A 20,676-nucleotide genomic window follows, 5' to 3' on the forward strand; every position below is an offset into this window, starting at 1 on the left:
AGGTGTAGTAATTGTGGGTACTTTAAGGTTTGGAGCACTTACAAGGCTGTGGTAGAAACAATTATCCCATGGATCCCACGTGTTAAACCATGCATATCTGTGGAATACTCAATCTCAATGCGCACACCTTTGACTACAGCTGCAGAAGTGTTCCTTTAGACAGTCGTAACCCATTTTACTCTGGATAAGGGCAGAAACAGTTCACATTCCATTATTTGTAAAGTTACCTGCTGTTAGCTTTCATTAATTTTGCTACATTCATTTTATTTGTATTTAAATGTTTTAGACAACTGAGGAACAAATGTGAAAGTAAAGATGCAGTAAAACTGAATTGGCTGATATTCATTACTTATGTATATCAAGCACAGCAGTAAAACAAAAACCCATGTATTTAACCTTTTTTTAGGTTTTTTGCTTTTGTGATTTTTAGGTTTTTTGCTTTTGTGATTTTTTTTTGATACATGCCTAACATGCATGTGCTGTAAAATAGTTAACAGGGAAACAACTTGAGATGATGGCTAGGTTTGTTTAATGTCTTATGAAATTTTCATGAACAATCCAAGCATAATTGTTAAGAACATGTGTATTAAATTCATCTAAGTAGAATAAAAGTTTTATGAATAGAAAGAAAGATTTGGCTGGGCGTGGTGGCTCACGCCTGTAATCCCAGCACTTTGGGAGGCTGAGGTGGGCAGATCATGAGGTCAGGAAGTGGAGACCATCCTGGCTAACATGGTGAAACCCCGTCTCTACTAAAAATACAAAAATTAGCCGGGTGTGGTGGCAGGTGCCTGTAGTCCCAGCTACTTGGGAGGCTGAGGCAGGAGAATGGCATGAACCTGGGAGGCAGAGCTTGCAGTGAGCCCAGATTGCACCACTGCACTCCAGCCTGGGCAACAGAGTGAGACTCTGTCTCAAAAAAAACAAAAAGAAAGAAAGAAAGAAAAAAGATTCACTGGGCAGTGCTGGGCACAAAGCCCAAATGGAGAGGAGGGTATTCACTGAGGGTGAAATATCCTCCCATACAGTGCCATGAATGCCTATCATTGGGGGACAAAAAGGTCCTTACTAGGTGAAAATTTAGACTGAAATCTTGAATTCTCCCTGTTTCTAGGAAATCACAAAAACAGCAATTCTTTGAGTTACTTTCCTGGTTACTAAGGCACTGGCTGATTCTATCCAACAAAATTATATTCCCAGGTTCTAAAAACACCTTCAGCATAGCATACAAAGAAGGGATAGGAGACATGATAGTCACAAAGGAGAGAATGGAAGAAAATGTGATAGGAAAGACTGGAAGTCCTGGTGCCGACACCGTGATGGGCTGTCAGGAACTGGAGTTAGTTCGGGGGCCTTCAGATAACACTGAGGTGTAGCCTCAACCAGAAACCTTCAGTTGTCCCAGGACCTCCTTCCAACCCTATGTGATGGCTAGGTCTTCCATGAATGGAAACTGGATTGGAACACAGCTGACATTCCCAGCACCCAAGGGCGATGGGGGATTGACAAAATACTCTCCAGCAAGCCTGTCCTCTGAGTCTTACAGATCTGGTGGCTGCACTAACCACTCTTAACTGACCAACAGAGGCCTGGTATTTGTTTGATTTTGAGAGAAAAAAAAAAAAACTATGGATAAGAAACTGCAGAAAGTAAAGTACTGGGGGGCTGCTCCTACTCACCCTTCTGACATATCCCAGATGACCCCCTACAGGTGAAGCAGTCTAGGGTCAGTGTAGCAGTCTCTTTGTCTGAGGTGTTATCCAGAGTTCTTTGTCTCATTACCAAGAAAATTAAGGAGCATGGACACCAAGGGTGAGGTTGGAGTGAAAGTTTAATAAGTGAAAGAGGAAAGCTCTCAGCAGCAGAGCAGGAGACCTGAAAGAGGGTTGTTGTTTTCCAGTTAAATACGAAGGTTTTTATAAGAAACTTCCCTTATCTGTCTAGGTGTTGTGTAACTTACCTTTTCTCTGTAGCTACCTGTGTAGCTTCCCTTATTTGTGCAGCTGCAAGCATGTATTAGGCAAGCACAGAGTGCAGCTTCTCTTGCCTGAGCAACTACGGGCATGTTTTAAGCAAGCCTCCACCCCACCCCATGCAAGTTCTCATGGAGCCCACTGTGTACATGCCCAAAAAGGGGAGGAAACTTTTTCCTGGGAGTGCACTGATTACACAGAGAACCAAGGCATTTCTATGTTGGGCCTCACTCCCTTATCTGTGCCTGTAGCTTGATTTTTCCAAGCTGCTCTTTATGTGCCTGCAGCTTGATTTTTTCCAGACTGCTGTTTTGTTTGAAAGAATTTCACCGAGGACCTGCCCTAACTGTCTGCCTGCTTTTTTTCTTTCTCCTTCCTCACTTGGGAGGCTGAGGCAGGAGGACCACCTGAACTTGGGGAGGTTGAGGCTACAGTGAGCTGTGATTGCATCACTGTACTCCAGCCTGGGTGACAGAGTGAGATCCTGTCTCAAAAAACAAACAAAAAAACCAAAGAAACATGCACAAAAAAAAAACCCCAAAAAACCAGCAATGAGAAAACTGGAAACAACCAGGTTTTTTCCATCAATAAGAGAATGGTGATACTGACTGTGGTATACTCTTACATTGGAACACTATTCAGCCATGAAAAGGAACAAACTGTCATTTGTTTTTGAGACAGTTTTGCTCTGTCACCCAGGTGGGAATGCAGTGGTGTGATCATGTCTCTCTGCAGCCTCAACCTCTTGGGCTCAAGTGATTCTCCCACCTCAGCCTCCCAAGTAGCTGGGACCACATGCACACACCACCATGCTCAGCTAATTAAAAAAATTTTTTTTGTAAAGATGAGGTCTTCCTATGTTGCTCTTGAACTCCTGGGTTCAAGTGATCCTCCTGCCTTGACCTCCCAAAGTGCTGGGATTATGAGATTATAGGCATGAGCCACCACACCTGGCCAGACAGTTAATACCACAACAACATAGATCAATCTGAAAAGCATTATGCTAACTGAAAGAAGCAAGATTCAAAAGAGTATCTACTGTATGATCCCATTTTTGTGATGTGCTAGAACAGGCAATACTAATCTGTGGTACAAAAAAAAGTCAAAACATTGGTGTCCTCTGGGGATGGGGCTGGGGATTGACTGGGAACAGATACAGAGGAATAAGATTTCTGAGGTAGTGGTAGTGTTCTGTATCTTAAAAGGGGTTTGCATTCCTAGGTGATACCTTTAAAAAAGAACCATAAACAAATACTGAACTCTAGTTAATGATATGCAGGCTGAAGCATTTAAGGGTGAAGTATACTGATGTCTGCAGCCTGCTTTGAAGTGCATCGGAAAAGAAGATAGACTGATGGAAGGAGACAGAGATGAGACAGAGGGGTAGATGGATAGATATGTGATAAAGTGAACATAGCTAGATGTTCCTTGAAGAATGTAGGAGGAGGGTATCCAGGTGTTCGCTATACAGTTCTTTGAATTTTGCTGTATGTTTGAAATTCTTCATAATAAAAAGATAGAAAAAATAACAATTAGAGAGCAGTTCTCAGGCTGGGTTTCCAAGCAGGTGTAGTGAGGCATAGAATAGAAATATAATAGAGCTGGCTGTTCAGAAGCCTCAAGTATTACTCTCTACTGTACCAGAGTCCTCTGCAGGTCATTGGCCTTTGCAGTTCTACTACCAGGAATCAGTTGACTCCTAATTATTGTCTAAAAATGACCAGACTGGACATAAAACATGCTGTAATTATAGCTCTTGTCTTTGTAAAGGTTTTGCTTTCTATCTTCCAAACAGATGAAGAAAAAATGCCCGCAAACTCCATGTATTAGCTACCCCTTTTCCAGCAGTGTGAGATGGGAATATACTTGGCTTGCCTTAGCTGGGAAGTGGCTGTGGAGATAGAGGGTGGCTTGGCTTGTTGCAGGAGCTGGAAAAAGGGCAGGCCACACTGGGCTGTGGAGGAGGGGGCTGGTCCTTTTCCCCCAGAGTGACTCTGTGCTTCATCCCAAGTTTCCTCACTTGCCTAGGACACCCTGGGTCCCCAGGGAGGAGGGTGGCTCGTTAAGCTAGATTCTCTCATCTGGCATCTGCCCATGAGCATGCAAGCCTTCATAACATCTCTGCTTCTGCTGTTTTCAAAGGTTGGAAAACAAAGAACCAGACCAAAGAGCGGGCAGACTCTGCTCCCACCCTCGGACATGGTGCCATCTTTGTTTTCCTCTCCAGGTGATCGTGTTGCCATCGAGCCTGGTGCTCCCCGAGAAAATGATGAATTCTGCAAGATGGGCCGATACAATCTGTCACCTTCCATCTTCTTCTGTGCCACGCCCCCCGATGACGGGAACCTCTGCCGGTTCTATAAGCACAATGCAGCCTTTTGTTACAAGTTAGTGTCCACAGTCCCACTGGGTCACCTGGGACCTCTTTCCCTTCATTAGCTTGGTGCTGTTTCCTGTGGTTATTTCTTTATTCTTTTCAGCTCATAATTCCAAACATGAGGCATCACCTGGACAGGCTACTCTTCTTGGTGGCATTGAGAGAGGGTAGCCTCCCTAGGAATAAGACTGACTCACAGTGGTTGGTTTTAGTCTTTCAGTTTCAGTTTCCCTTACTTAGAGCAACAATAGAAAATTATTGCTGAAATCACTCACCCTCTGCAGACATCCTGGAGGGAATTCCTGTGGTTCATCCTCTGTTATTAGTTTCCACTGCAACCACCAGAAACGTCATAACAACAATGACCTCGGCCAGGTGTGGTGGCTCATGCCTGTAATCCCAGCACTTTAGGAGGCCAAGGCCAGTGGATCATGAGATTAGGAGATCGAGACCTTCCTGGCTAACACGGTGAAACCCCATCTCTACTAAAAAAATACAAAAAATTAGCCAGGCCTGGTGGCAGGCACCTGTAGTCCCAGCTACTTGGGAGGCTGAGGCAGGAGAATGGCTTGAACACGGGAGGTGGAGGTTGCAGTGAGCCGAGATGGCGCCACTGCACTCCAGCCTGGGCAACAGACCGAGACTCCGTCTCAAAAAGAAAAACAACAACAATGACCTCGACAATAGCAACAACACACCATGACAGCAACGGCTGACATTTCCTGAGGTGTGGTGTGCTGCCAGGGCTTGAGCTCTGGGATCCTGGATCTACTCCCTCCTGGCAAGTGATTTTGGAGAAATTATTTCACTTTTCTCTGATTCAGTTTCATTTAATCGCCAAAATATTAAATAAGGTGATGCATGGAGAGTCATAATTATTATTACTATGTGCCTGCCCTTGTGCTAATAAGTGGTTTGCATGCTTCAATTTATTTAATCTCCACAAGAATAATGCTGAGGTGGGCACCGTTATTGGGTTAACCAAGGCAGAAGGAAGCTCATTGACTTGGGCACAGAGCACAACCAAGAGTCAAACTGGGGTCTCTGTGAGTCTCAAGCTCCTGCCCTGTGCCCACTCCCCTACCCTACTCCGATTCTCACCCCTGAAATTGTGAAGTTGAGTCTGGAGGAAGCAAAGTGCCTCCCTTTCTGCGTGGCCCCCCATGGCCCCAGCCGTGGAGCTCTAGGGTGCCGAAGTGCCGCTTTCCCCCTGACCCAACCCAGATGCATTCTTCCCCCACCGCAGCCTGGCCCCAGTGGTGGTTTTCAGCCAGGATGGGGCTTGTCCGGTGGAGGCCAGGTGCCAGTCACAGGAGCAGTCTGACAGATCTGAGTTTTTCTAGGGCCCACTGGGAGCCTTGAGAGGAGTCACAGGCCAGAGACCTTGTGATGGGTTTAAGTCAACACCTGAACCTGCTCTAGAAGTAAGCAGGTTACATGTGCAGAGTACACCTTTCAGCAAGTGGTTCCTGAATGGGCCCATCTTTCTCGGGCCCTTTCCAAGTCAAGACACCAAACGAAAGTTTCATGGAAGGCAGAAGAGCATAGTGGTGAAGCCCACTGGTCTCTGCCAATTACAACTGTGTGACCTTGGGCAAGTCACTTAAATTTTGTAACCTCAATATCCTCGCCTGTAAAATAGAAATAGTGATGGTACCTCCCTCACAGAATTACTGATGAGATCCAATGAGAAAAGCATATCAAGTCTCCAGCATGAGGTCTGGCACATAGTAAATGCTCAGTAAATGGTACCAAGCTATGCCATAGTCATGGCCTAGTGGTCTGGGCATGGAGGTGCAGGAGTAGGCCTGAAAGAGAGCCTTGTGCTGGTGGTTTATAGGGAATGATGGGGCTCTGGCTGGCAGTGGCAGTGGCAGTGGGGGTGCTGAGGAAGGTCTCTGGGGAGTCCTACAGCCCTGCCTTTCTTCTCCTCCCAGGGGGCTTTCTGCCTGTGTCCCCAGTTCTTCCCTAGACCCAAGCCCTCCTCTCTGATGTCTTTTTAGGATTCCCATACTACCACAGCCTCTTTATTTTTGTATCTATTTTCTTTCTATTTTCCTGCTTCTCCTTGGCTTCTTGATCATCTGTTACCCAATTTGGACTGTTCCCTGAACCCCATTGTAAAAACTACCAAGTTGCCTCATCACTCTCTGGTGTTTATAAAGCATGAAAGGTTGGGGCTGGGAAGAAACTTGGAGTCTTCTCATCCTCGTTCTCCATCAACCCCCACTGGACAAGATTGGGGAGGGTGGAGTCAGTGGTTTTCCCAAGGTCAGTGGCAGCGGGGCTGGCCTCCAGGACTCCTTGTACATGCTTCTGCCTCCACACCAGGTGGCTTTCCAACACGGTTGGCTGTGTTGGGTGCAGGCGGATGAGGCAGCATCTGCTTAATCAGTAGAGTATTCTTCCTGATAACAATCTTCCCTCATCACCTTCCCCAATCCCATCTCTCCTCGATGTAGTTTCCACGCAAGCCACCCTCTGCATAGAGCCCTTATAAGTTCCTCAGGAGGCCCAGATGTGGAAGGGCAGGCGTGTCTAGGAACCTGTGGAGTCCCTGAGAGAGTTTAGGAATCTTCACGATTTCATTTTCACCTTTTTCCTATTATATAGAAGGGATACTTCTAGGGGGAGTAGAAGGAGTGTGACCGCAGTCAGAGCAGGAGAGTGGATTGGAGTAGGGGAAGTGATGGGAAAGAAGCCGAGGGGAAGGGATAAGGGGGTGGTGGGTGGCAGCTGGGCCTCCATTGGCCTGGTGAGTAGTTCTGTCAAGGATCAGGGACAGTGACAGGAGGACTCCGAGTTATTCTGTTGAAGATTGGAGACAGTGTTGAAAGGATCATGGGGATGAGCACATGGTTTGGCTGTCACATTTATTTCTTTTTGGAACTTGAGGGTTTTCCTGTTCCTGTGTGTGCAGATTTGGGGTGCTGGGTAAATCCTGGGCAGTGAGGAACTAGCAGAAATTGGATATTAATATTAGCTACACAGCTGCTCATACCAGGATGGAGCTGATATGGGACAGGCAGAGGATGTGGAATCAGGACACCTTGGTTAAGTCTGGCCTTCATTCCCTAGCTTCATAACCTTGGCAATTCTCTTAATGTCAGTGAGTTTCAGTTTCCTCTTCTGTAAACTAAGGGTTTTCTAAAAAAGCCTGCCCTACCTGCCTAACATGGTTTTCATGAGGATTAAATGAGATAATGGATGAGCGTGCTTCCTAATCTGTAAAGCTTTATGCAAATATTTGCTATCGTCATCAGCTGTATTATTGATAGGGTCAAGATACCAGTGGAAGTGAAAACCTAGAACCCAGAGTGAAGGTGACACTGCATTTAATCAGCTTTGTGGAACAGGTCCTTTTTTCTTCTTGACTGGTCCTGGGTCAGCAGGGCAGCCACTGTCCTCAGATGTGGTTCTTCTGGAATGTATAATATGGGAGGCGACTATCAGAGTGATGCCCATTGCTAAATCACTGTTCTACAAAACTGGTGATAGTCAGGATTGTTTGCTAAAGTGAAACTAAAAAGGCTGTAAGTTTGAGAAGCAGATGAGATGCTGGAACGTGGCCATGTTAACTCCTTGTTAAATAAACTTTTCATTTATTAATGATAACCACCATACCGTAGCTTGGATAGCACATTAAAGAAAACATAATGTGTTCATTTCACTGAATTGATTTATCCAAAGAAAACCATGTTGCCTTCTTCAGATGGGGACATTGTGGCATGGGTTCTGTGATGAGAACATATCTGTCTTCTAATTTGAACCCTTTGGGCCCCTCACTAGCTTTGGATGGTTGGGGCAAGTCATTTAACCCACCACGCCTGTTTCCTCATCTGTAAAATGGGAATGATAGTACCTACCACAGAACTATTCCAGGGATTTACGTGAGTTAATGTATATAAATTGCTTAGCACATTGCTCTGCACATAAATAAATGCTCGATAAATGCTAGCTATGGTTGTTATTACAGTGACATTGGGCATATATAATACTATTGTTAGCATTGTAGTTAACTCAGAGGATCTCTGTGTGTCAATTGACTCCTCAGGCTTCCTGACAATGTCACCTTTGAGGAAGGCGCCCTGATCGAGCCACTTTCTGTGGGGATCCATGCCTGCAGGAGAGGCGGAGTTACCCTGGGACACAAGGTCCTTGTGTGTGGAGCTGGTAAGAAACAGAAGCCACCCTGTTGCGGGTTCATTGACTGGGAATTCAGGGAACCCTCTGCCCATCTCATTCCCCCTCCAAGGCTTGAGATTTGTTCTAGAATCCTTCTGGGTAAGGGAGGATTGCAGTGTCCCATTCCCTCAGTGACTAGCACTTTGCTAAACAAATGAGTATCTGCAGACATGATATTAACTAGGGTTATATGTCCTAGGCAACATAGCCCTTTTTGTTCATTTAAAGAATGAATTGGCTGGGCACAGTGGCTCCTGCCTATAATCCCAGCACTTTGGGAAACCAAAGCCGGTGGATCACCTGAGCCCAGGAGCTTGAGACCAGTCTGGGCAACATGGTGAAACCCCGTCTCTACAAAAAAATACAAAAATTAGCAGGTGTGGTAGTGTGTGTCTGTAGTTCCAGCTACTCAGAAGGCTGAGGTGGGAGGATCACTTGAGCCTGGGAGGTCAAGGGTGCAGCGAGCCATGATTGTGCCACTGAACTCCAGTCTGGGTGACAGAACAAGACCCTGTCTCAAAAAAAACAAGACCCCATCTCAAAACAAACAAACAAAAAGAATGAATCTGGGCCAGGCGGGGTAGCTCATCTCAGCACTTTGGAAGGCTGAGACGGGTAGATCACTTGAGGCCAAAAGTTCAAGACCAGCCTGGCCAACATGATGAAACCTCAACTTTACTAAAAATACAAAAATTAGCCAGGCGTGGTGGTGCACCCCCTGTAGTCCCAGCTACTTGGAAGGCTGAGACAGGAGAATCACTTGAACCTGGGAAGCAGAGGTTGCAGTGAGCCAAGATTGTGCCACTGCACTCCAGCCTAGGTGACAGAGCGAGATTCTGTCTCAAAAAAAAAAAAAAAAAAAGGAATTAATCTGGCGATTATTTTTGAACCCTTGATGGGAAACTAGGGAAATTTTTTTTTTTCTTTTGAGACAGAGTCTTACTCTGTTGCCCAGGCTGGAGTACAGCAGCGCGATCTTGGCTCACTGCAACCTCCACCTTAGAGAAATATTTTTGATAGTAAAGGGAAGGGCAACTCTTGGAACTTTCAAATTATACCAGCAAAGTGATGGCCTAGTCCCATCTATGAATAAGGTAGACCCTGCTCCCGGCCAGTGGGAGGAGTGAGCAGTGGTCTGCTCCCACACCACTGTGAGCCAGCAATCTGCCTGCAGTAGGGCTGTAGCTAGCTGCCTTCTCTCATCCCCTGTTTCAAGCCATCTGGAACAGGCCCTAGCAGCCTTAGACCAAATCATTCTGGTGACCCAGACAGTACGCTCACGCTCCTTGTGGGTGTGATCTGGTGTTCCTCATACTTGTTTGTGATTTTCTTTGGCTGGCCAAATAAGTGATCACACGGCTTCCTAAGAGGGGTGATGGATGTAGAATAGACTTGCCACAATGGGCTAGCAGACTGCGGGACTCAGGTGACAGATTCTTATAAAAATCTGCATGGATCCAGTACCTTTTTACCATAGAAAAGGAAAATAAGTCACACATACCACACACATGCATGCCTTGCCCCCAACACACACACACAGAAATTCACCTGCAATCCCGTCACCGATTAGCCCAAGAGAACCACTGTTAATATTTGGGTATAGAATCTTTTAGTTAGTTAGTTTTTTTCTGAGACCATGCTAAATACGCTTCCTTTACCTACTCTTTTTTAAAAATCAGGCTGGGCATGGTGGCTCATGCCTGTAATCCTAGCACTTTGGGAGGCTGAAGCAGTCGGATCACCTGAAGTCAGGAGTTTGAGACCAGCCTGGCCAACATGGTGAAACCCCGTCTCTACTAAAAATACAAAAATTAGCCAGGCGTGGTGGTGGGTGCCTGTAATCTCCACTACTTAGGAGGCTGAGGTGAGAGAATTGCTTGAACCCGGGAGGCGGAGGTTGCAGTGAGCTGATTGCACCACTGCACTCCAGCCTGGGTGACAGAGCGAGACTCTGTCTCAAAAAAAATACTGTGAACATTTTTCCATGTCAATAGATAAAGAGTTATGGCGTAATTTTTAGTAGCCATGTAGTTTTTAAATCATGCTTTGTTGGACATTTCAGGTATTATTTTTCAGTATTTTGTTTTCTGAGGGAGCTCACAAAATTGTTCTCGGGGTTGTGTACAAAAAGTAAACCCCCAAAGATAGTCTGCATTGCTTTCATTCCGTGGGTCTGATTTTTATATTAAAACCATAGTGTCACATAGCATGCAGATACCATGGGGAAGCAGGTGTCTCAGGCAAATCCTTGGATACCTGAGTATCCTGGGGCTATCTGGGCACCAGGGCCAACCCAGGGAGCCAGCTCACTTAAGAACCCTCTCCAGGTGGTCCTCAGAGGGCACCTAAAAGGAATATGTCTCTCTCTGGGGGAGGTGTGATGGGTTCTCACAAAGGTAGGGGCAAAGAAAGACCAGGAAAACAAGTCCAGACCTTCTGAGATTTCTTATTTTCTGAATAAGTTTGTGTTTCCTTGAATCCTGTGGTTCTTTGAGATTATCTCCACTAGTGCCCAGGAGTAAGTAGGAAAATTTTAGCTCTGAGGTTTGAGAGGATTAAATAGAACCCAGCACTAGGAGCGTATTTTATGTAGAGAATAATTCTTCATGGATTTATTCACTTCTGCATTCAACAAACAGCCGCTAAGGTCTTATCATGCCAGGCACTGGGATAGATGCTAGAGACACACAAAAGATATGGTTCCTATCCATGGCCTGGACAAGTGGGAGAGCAGATGTTTAATATTTCACGAACATATTCCATCTTCTGCTTTGTTTAGGGCCAATCGGGATGGTCACTTTGCTCGTGGCCAAAGCAATGGGAGCAGCTCAAGTAGTGGTGACTGGTAAGACTTTGTTCTTTATCAATCTCCTTGACTGGGAAACAGCGGGTCCTACTGTATGTGCATGTGTGAGGAGAGGTTATCTGTGACAGTGTGGAGGGGGTGAGTGTGTAGTGTCATATGGATTGTGGAAATATAGAAGAGTGTGAGTGTGTGTTTTGTGTTAGGAGAAGCTATCAGAGAGAGAGAGAGTTTGTGTGAGAGAGTGTGTGTGTGTGTGTCTGTGTGTAGCTGTATGGTGGATATGGGGGTATATGAGGGTGTAGAGCAGGGGTGTCCAATCTTTTGGCTTCCTTGGGCCACATTGGAAGAATGGTCTTGGGCCCCACATAAAATACCCTAACACTAATGATAGCTGATGAACTTTACAAAACTGTTTTTTAATTTCATAATATTTTTAGAGAGTTTACAGATTTGTGTTGGGCCATATTCAAAGCCATCCTGGGCTGCATGTGGGCTGCAGGTTGGACAAGCTTGGTGTGAAGAGTATGTGTGTTGGGCTCAACACCACCACCCATTGCACGAGAGCTTTGTTGCCATCAGATCTTACATCTCCATTTTCTTTTCTTCCTAATGAGTCATCAGATTTCTCTTGTTTGAAAGAATTTTTTTTTTTTTTTTTTTTACCTTCAGATCTGTCTGCTACCCGATTGTCCAAAGCCAAGGAGATTGGGGCTGATTTAGTCCTCCAGATCTCCAAGGAGAGCCCTCAGGAAATCGCCAGGAAAGTAGAAGGTCAGCTGGGGTGCAAGCCGGAAGTCACCATCGAGTGCACGGGGGCAGAGGCCTCCATCCAGGCGGGCATCTACGTGAGTGGGCTGAGGGCAGCTTTGGGGAATCAGCATAGGGGAGTGAAGGAGGCAGAAGTAGGGAGTCAAACTTCTTTACCAGCTTGCTGCGTGAGCCCCAAGCCAAACTTATTCATCTTTTGCCATCTATGTTTTCTTTTTCTTTTTTTTTTTTTTTTTTTTTTTTTTTTTTGAGACAGAGTCTCACTCAGTCGCCCAGGCTGGAGTGCCGTGGCTCGATCTCAGCTAACTGCAAGCTCCGCCTCCTGGGTTCACGCCATTTTCCTGCCTCAGCGTCCCGAGTAGCTGGGACTACGGGCGCCTGCCACCATGCCCAGCTAAGTTTTTTGTATTTTTTTTAGAAGAGATGGGGTTTCACCGTGTTAGCCAGGATGGTCGCCATCTCCTGACCTCATGATCCGCCCTCCTCGGCCTCTCAAAGTGCTGGGATTACAGGCGCTATCTCTGTTTTCTTATCTCTAGTGCGGAGACTGTACTTGAACTTGCCTTACATCCTTATTGGGCCATCTGAGGTTCACACAAGATAACAGCTATACACGGGCCTTGAAAAATGTTAAGGACACACACTTTGGGGATGGGGTTGGCTTCATGATCATATTTGTTAAAAGTGCAGTAGTTTTGGTAAAAAGACCAAGAAGAAAAACAGGGAACCATGCCTTAATTGTATGTGGGAAATCCCCGTCTTATTTTATTGAGGAAAACTGCAGTCTTTAGTCACTTATATAAAATAACAGTCATTTAGTTAGTCATGAAGGTGAGGTGATTTTCCAGGGTCACAGCTGACTACTGCTTGTTTTGTCTCCCAGACCTAGGAACAGATAAGCTGCCAGTGCCCGACTCGCCCCTCAGCGACCCACCAGCCACTTATGGGAAGTTGGCAGGAAGTTGGAGGTGGTGGGAGGGAGTGTCATTGACAGATCAAAGTATGAGGAAACGAAGGGAAAATAACAACTTCCAGGTTCCAAGCCCTACTGTACGCCAGGTTCTCTGCTGTACTTTATAAACATGAGGCCTAATCTGCACAATAGCCCTGAAAACCAGTTACCATTTTATGCTGAGGGATTTGTGGTTTGTTTGAGGCAAGCCAAGTCAGGCCCAGGCCCAGCCCTGCCAGGCCCCAGTGCCTGAGTTGCCCCGCTGCTTAGGAGAGGAAGGGAAGGAGGGCACGAACAACCATGCTAGGGTGGGGGGACAGGGCCAGGGCTGGAGAGGGTAGCAGGCAGCCGCCACCACAGGGGACTCCTGTCCCTGCCTCCCAGACAGCCTCCCCAGGTAGCGTGGGCTTCCTCCTTCCTTCTGAGGCTCACAGCAGGAGGGCACTTTGCATCACATGAGACATTCTAGGGAAGGCTGACCCACCAAGCTGAGTAGCAGAGCTGCCTAGACCTCCTCCTACTAAGTTGCCCAGCGGCCTTGGGAGCTGAGGAAGCAGTGGGGGAGAGGGAGGAGCGGGTGCCACCTTGGCAGTGTCGTGAGTTTCAGCTGGAGTCGGCCAGCCCTCTGCTTCACTGTCATAGGCAGTGGTCGCCATGTGGGAAGGGGCAAAAAGAAGCCGAAGCTCAGAGAGGAACAATGGATCTGTGTGTGATTGATCTACCCATGGTATGTCTTGGGTACCTACCATGTGCCAGGCTTTGTGCTGGGCACTTTGAGGGCTAAGACATGAGTAGGTTGCATCTGCTGTCTTCAAGTTGTCAGCAGGTAAGTGACCTCCACCCCGCAGAGAGGCAGTATAAGCTGGGGGACTTAAAGGACATGGCTCTCCTTCCTCTTGTGCCCTGCCCTTAGAGCATTTGGAACAGTTGGCATTTCCACTGTTGACGGTGGGGGCCTGGTTGCCAGGCTACCTGAGGCAGGCATGGAGTTGAATGTGACCCATGGGCCTCACCAGGCCTGAAGCAGTGTCTCTCCTGACGTCACGCATGACGGGTGCTGTAGAATGCTATAGGCCACCCCGCCAATGAGCAGGCTAGGTGGCTGGACCAAATATGGACAAATCTGAGCATCGCCATCCTGCCAGGTTATGACTGGATAGTGTTTGTGATGAGACGTGGCAGATGCCTTGGGGTAGAATTGATGTCATATCCTTGGTGCAGATGCCATACCTACAGGATAGTGTCCAGGTGGTTCCAGCATTCCTTGACCTGGGGTCAGCAAACTGCTGGCATCTTGGCAGCTTGGAATGGCCAGTTGGTGTTCCTCCTCACCACCAGGTAGAGAGGAAGTGCTGATGAGGAAGTAGTTTCCCTAGAAAATGGGCTGAGAGGGCACGTCCAGGGTGCCACAGCTCTGAAGCAGCAGCGCTGGGAGTCACTCCCACACCACTCAAACCCTGAGTTCACCTCTTGCTCACGGCACCACAGGCCTGTCTCCATGGTGTATCCATCTCAGAAGTGGAGGCTATGATCGTGGTGTATCCTTCGTCTCAGAACTGGAGGCTGTGACATGTGCCTTTCTCTAGTTCCACTGTTTAGCACCCAGAATGGTCCCAATAAATGCTTGCTGCTGACTATAATGAACAATCAGCATGATTGAATTATCCATTCTTCTGTCTCTCACCGCACTGAGCACAGTGATCCCCAGAAAGCTCTGGAACAAGCACAGCACTCACAGGGAGTTCTGGGGAAATTTTCAGGAGAAATTTCACTGCTGCCTGTGACCCACTCCAAGTGGGGAACTGATAAGGCAGATAAACATTCAAGGAAGACAAAACCCATTATGGCTCATACTGTTGAGGTAAACATCTCTGGAACAAAAAGATTTCTAACTGCCAGCCTGCATGCATGTATGAAGCCTTTTTTAAGCCACAGAATACAAGTGGCCCATCTGTCTCATGTTTATAGTTTTCTCACCACCGGTGAGCTTAGAGGGCCAGTGGTTCCTTCCAGCTCTGATGAAAGTGCTGCCTGTGGAGGGGCGCTCTGGGGGAGGAACAGGTGCTTAGACTGTGGAGGTGGCTGAAGCCAATATTGGGTCCCGAATCTGTAAAGCTTTGGAAGATGTTCCCACTGTGCCTGGTTCTCCATGGGTTAAGTGTATGTTTTCACAATACACTTTAAAGAAAACCGTGTTTACTCTCCCGCTCAGTTAAGTTTGGTTGGCAGGTTGAGCAGTTCAGCAGTGTACACAAATCACATTCTCAGGAATTTTTGGATGCTCAGCTGATGCAACCAGAAGATACTTGTGTGATGACAATATGTTATTGTAAGTGGGAAGTCAGTATTTCTTATCTTCTGAGCTTTCTTGTTTTTACCTCCTTTACAGGCCACTCGCTCTGGTGGGAACCTCGTGCTTGTGGGGCTGGGCTCTGAGATGACCACCGTACCCCTACTGCATGCAGCCATCCGGGAGGTGGATATCAAGGGCGTGTTTCGATACTGCAACACGTGAGTATGCCGTGGGTGAGCCGGGATGCCCAGCCTCCAGCAAGACCATGGCAGGCCCCACTCAGCCTCTGGGCCCATGAGTCTCTGCCTGTTTGTTCATGGGGGGCACTCCCTGGCCACACTGATAGCTGTGTGATATAACAGGGATCCAAAGAGAGAACACTCACTGCCAGTTAAAGAATGGGAGGAACAGAAGGATGGATGGAGGGAGGGAAGGAGGGGATTTTGAAGCATAGTCTTACTGAGTGTCTGCTGCTTATCCCCCCCAGGCCCCTTTTTTCCCCCTATTTTCTTAAGTTGCCAGGTCTCCATTTTCTCCCTTTAAAGGGAAGAAGGAGAGAAAGGAGGACAAAAGGAAGAAATCAAGTCCTGTGGCTTCCGTTCCTTAGCCCTAGGGCCCACCCTGGGGAGCGAAAGGGTCTTAGTTTGCCCCACCCATGTTCTGCAGCTCCACCCTCTCCCCTGCTGGGGCCCTCTGGCTGGGACCCCTCTCCCCAGCAGTGTCCCTTACTCCTGGCTTTAGAGGCTGTAACTCCATGCCCTCATCAGGGCGCCAGTTTTCCAGTAAGCTGAGCTGTTAGTGGGTGTGACTGGATTGTCCCGGGCTGCCTCCCCACGGCTTCTCTGCCTTTTCCCAGTGGCCTCCACCATGTGCCTTGTACCTTCATGCCACAGGAATTCTAGGCTCCATGGCAGACGTGGCAGAGTGAGCGGGTGGGTGAGGGGTGGGGGCAATTGCAAATAGGCTCTGTACCCCTGAATCATAAGCCATAAGGTCCTTTCCTGGGTTGTTGGCCTGTAAAATTGGCTTTGCAGAACCACAGTGCTATCAATAAATACGGCCAAGCTGATCTAGTGCTTGGTAGTTTGGGGCACCTGGCTCTTTCCTCTTGAAGGTTGAATATAATGCTCGTGCTCTTTTACAGGTGGCCAGTGGCGATTTCGATGCTTGCGTCCAAGTCTGTGAATGTAAAACCCCTCGTCACCCATAGGTTTCCTCTGGAGAAAGCTCTGGAGGCCTTTGAAACATTTAAAAAGGGATTGGGGTTGAAAATCATGCTCAAGTGTGACCCCAGTGACCAGAATCCCTGATGTTAATGGGCTCTGCCCTCATCCCCACAGTCTTGGGATCTCAGGGCACAATGGCTGGACATGGGTGGGCTCTGATGCAGAACTTTCTCTTTTGAATGTTAAGAATAACTAATACAATTCATTGTGAACAGAAGTCCTTAAGCAGAGGAATTGGTGTGCCTTAAAGATACAATCTGGGATAGTTTGGGGGAACTTGTAGCCAGAATGCCCTGTTCATGCTGAGCAAAGTTCAGCAAGTAGAGCAGAGTTTGGCAGGCAGGTGCCAGGAACTCCCCTTCTTCCTGGAGTGCCTTCATTGAGGAAGGAAATCTGGCCCTTGGGTTTCCTGGTTCCACTGCTACTGACCCAGAGGGGAATGAGGGCTGAGTTATGAAAAGATAACTTCATGAAGACTTAACTGGCCCAGAAGCTGATTTTCATGAAAATCTGCCACTCAGGGTCTGGGATGAAGGCTTGTCAGCACTTCCAGTTTAGAACGCAATGTTTCTAGAGACATATTGGCTGTTTGTTTTGATGATAAAAGGAGAATAAGAAAAGGCATCACTTTCCTGGATCCAGGATAATTTTTAAACCAATCAAATGAAAAAAACAAACAAACAAAAAAGGAAATGTCATGTGAGGTTAAACCAGTTTGCATTCCCCTAATGTGGAAAAAGTAAGAGGACTACTCAGCACTGTTTGAAGATTGCCTCTTCTACAGCTTCTGAGAATTGTGTTATTTCACTTGCCAAGTGAAGGACCCCCTCCCCAACATGCCCCAGCCCACCCCTAAGCATGGTCCCTTGTCACCAGGCAACCAGGAAACTGCTACTTGTGGACCTCACCAGAGACCAGGAGGGTTTGGTTAGCTCACAGGACTTCCCCCACCCCAGAAGATTAGCATCCCATACTAGACTCATACTCAACTCAACTAGGCTCATACTCAATTGATGGTTATTAGACAATTCCATTTCTTTCTGGTTATTATAAACAGAAAATCTTTCCTCTTCTCATTACCAGTAAAGGCTCTTGGTATCTTTCTGTTGGAATGATTTCTATGAACTTGTCTTATTTTAATGGTGGGTTTTTTTTCTGGTAAGATTTAGACCTAAATCGCATCATGCCAACTTGTGACTTTGAGACTATTCATCAAGAATGAGGATATAGTAGCCATGACATAGCTTGAGCTATAGCCTTTAATTCCTTACTTTGGCTATGGGTGGAGGGTGAGTTTGAAGAGGTTCTGATTTTCTTGTAACCTGGGAAAGCCATGACCTTGTGCCCGATTCTTTCAGATTGCTTTGGGTAATAAATATTGGTGGTGGTATCTGACTCATGCTGCTGTTTATGGTCCTGTTTAGTGGGGAATGGACTCAGGTTACCCATTTCCCAGAGGGAAGGATCCCAGGATTTTTGAAGGTTACATATTTTCTGTACCAAATATAATTTCATTGACATGAATTATCTCTAATCCTCATGACAAGCCACATACACAATCATTTTGTAGATAAAGAAGATATAAATGCCAGAGGAGACCTTAAGATTGTCTTACAACACAACCCTTCAGTTAACGAGAGAGGAAATTGAGGCTCAGATTGGGGAAGTGACTTGGCAAATCACACAGTGGGTTAGTCAATGGCCCAGGATTAGACAGAACCCAGGAATCCTGACATCAAATCCTTTACAACATGCTGCCTCTCATAGGCCTGAGGTGTCCAGTCCTAGAGGACAAATGATGCTCCCCATGCCACCACCCCCACCAAGCAGCTCCTACTGATGAGAAGATGCACTAAGCAGTCTTGGTGGAAACATCTTCCTCACGCCCTGTGCCCCCTTTCAGGTGCCCAGAGAAGGAGCTCCAGTGTCTGCTTCAGCCAGGGCTTTAAGAGAGAAGGAAGCTGGGAGTGAGGGGCAGAGGCTCTACCAGAGAATGTCTGCTGGTGTCTTGGAGGCACTTCCTGCAGCCTATGCATGCCTCGTGAAGCCATTTCACTGCTGCCCCTTCATCCTCCTCCTCCCTGAGCCCTAGGTAGAAGTCAGTGTGTGGAGGAGGCCACCCAGAGATGACCCTGACCAGGCCCCACCGCCTGTAGCCAGACCCAGCCTCTGTCCCAGCTGGCTGCTAATTTCTGAGCATTTCTTCCCTGTTATTTGGCCTCTGTACCTTGAACCTAGGTTGACATCATGAGCAGAGGACAGTTCTTAGGAAAGGCAAATATCCCATAAATCCTATTTGCCTCTCTTTCTCCTAACCTCTGGCTCCACCAACTCCCCAACAGGCCTCCTGCACACACAATAGGAGTCAGGAGGGAGGAGGCAGGACTGTGCTACACAAGGGAGACTGGGTGGGGAAGATGTCAGAGAACCAGTGACTGAGTGCAGAGGTGACTTCACACCAGCATCTGCTGTAGCCAGAGGTGGGCTGCAAGAGGGAATTAGAGGAGCCAACATGTCCTCTTTCTCCTTTAGGGTCCATGGAGCAGTCCGCTGCTTCCAGGTTGCCTGTGGGGTCCTTCCCAGCTCTCCGCCCTGACACGTCTTCACTCCCTAGCACTCGTGGAGCTGACTGGGTGGGGACCTCAGTGTTGACTGAAAGCGTGAATCAAGTGCCAGGCACTGGTGACAGAGCACACAGAGGCTGCTGGGCCTCCCAAGGTCGGGGAGCTTGTGGGGAATTCACATTCTTGGTTCCGGGACTGATTCACTGAGTCAATCAATATTGATTGAGCACTTAGTTGGTTGTGGTGGTGGTAGGAATGAATTCCTGGGCTTCCTGCAGCCCCTTTCCATGAATCTATACATATCAAACATGTGCATGCATTTGTAAACATTAATGGGAGTGTACTTTACTTTTTTCATTTTACTCATAAACAGACGAGGACTTTAAAAAAATCACAATTATTAAATAATTCCCATTACTATACCTGACAAAACTAATAATAATTTCATAATAGCTAATACCCCGTCAATCCATGCCATATTTTCCCTCATCTAAAAAACAGAAAAAATTACTTTTTTTTCCCCCAAAGACAGGGTCTTGATCAGAGCTCACTGCAATATCAAACTCCTGGGTTCAAGTGATCCTCCTGTCTCAGCCTCTGGAGTAGCTGGGATTATAGGCATGCACCACCATGCCTGGCTACTTTTTGTAGAGAAAAAAATTTAAAAAGGTCTCACTATGTGGCCCAGAGTGTTCTTGAATTCCTGGCCTCAAGCAATCTTCCTGCCTCAGTTTCCCAAAGCACTGAGATTACAGGCATGAGCCACCATGCCCAGCCAAAACTTTACTTTTTTACACTTGCTTTTCTGGAATCAGGATCTAAACATATTGCATGCGGTTGATATATTAAGCCTGTTTTATTTTTTATTTTTTCTTCTTTCTTAAGCCTCTTTATTATAGTTCCCCCTACATTTTGGTTCACATGCCACTGTTATGTTGAAGAAACTGGGTCCTTTGTCTTCTGGATACCGTTTTACAAACATACTTGTTTTCATTTAATAAATGGCTAAATTTCTTTCTATGTCAATAATTATACACATCATTATTTTAAATCACCACATCCCATTGTGTGGATAGACTATCATTTATAAAGCAAATTGCAGTATTTTGAGTGTTTGGATAGTTTACAGAGTTTTGCTCTAATAATAAAGTTGCAATGACAACCCTTGTTGCATATTTTTGTTCTCCTGACTCATTATTTCCTGAAGTTATTAATATGTTATTTCCTGAAGTTATTAATATGTTATTTCTTGAAGTTATATTTTAGAATGAAAATAGCTGGGGTTAAGGGTACACACATTTTTAAGGTGACCTGGTTAGACAAGAAAACACAGTATTGACATTCAGACTGTCTAAGAAAATCTCTGGGGGTGCCCCAGGCTTTGTGTGATGTGGGAAGACTCTGGGGTCTTGGGTAGCTCACAGGGGCTGTTGAGGATGAGGCCATGAAGCCACTGGCTCTCTGGCTTCAGGCCACCCTTGGGAAAGCAGGGGCCTAGACCCATAAACTTGGACAGATTGCCATTTTCCAGG

The 20,676-nt window shown here is 46.7% G+C and overlaps 1 protein-coding gene across 2 annotated transcripts in view; it reads left to right on the forward strand.

Moving 5' to 3' along the window:
• SORD (sorbitol dehydrogenase) overlaps positions 1-20,319 on the forward strand; it is a 53,991-nt gene extending 33,672 nt beyond the window's left edge. The window contains exons 4-9 of one of the 2 annotated variants that reach the window (NR_034039.2): positions 4,116-4,360; positions 8,405-8,523; positions 11,315-11,380; positions 12,011-12,186; positions 15,451-15,572; positions 16,499-20,319. Coding sequence is in view for 1 of the 2 variants with exons in the window: in NM_003104.6 (NP_003095.2) it covers positions 4,201-4,360; positions 8,405-8,523; positions 11,315-11,380; positions 12,011-12,186; positions 15,451-15,572; positions 16,499-16,664 (809 nt within the window). In the remaining variant the exon portion in view is untranslated. The remainder of the gene's footprint in view (positions 1-4,115; positions 4,361-8,404; positions 8,524-11,314; positions 11,381-12,010; positions 12,187-15,450; positions 15,573-16,498) is intronic. The other variant, NM_003104.6, reaches the window with a different exon arrangement.
• The last annotated feature ends 357 nt before the right edge of the window (positions 20,320-20,676 follow it).

This window comes from Homo sapiens, chromosome 15 (genome assembly GCF_000001405.40).
Source record: "Homo sapiens chromosome 15, GRCh38.p14 Primary Assembly".
NCBI classification, from domain to species: Eukaryota; Metazoa; Chordata; class Mammalia; order Primates; family Hominidae; genus Homo; species Homo sapiens.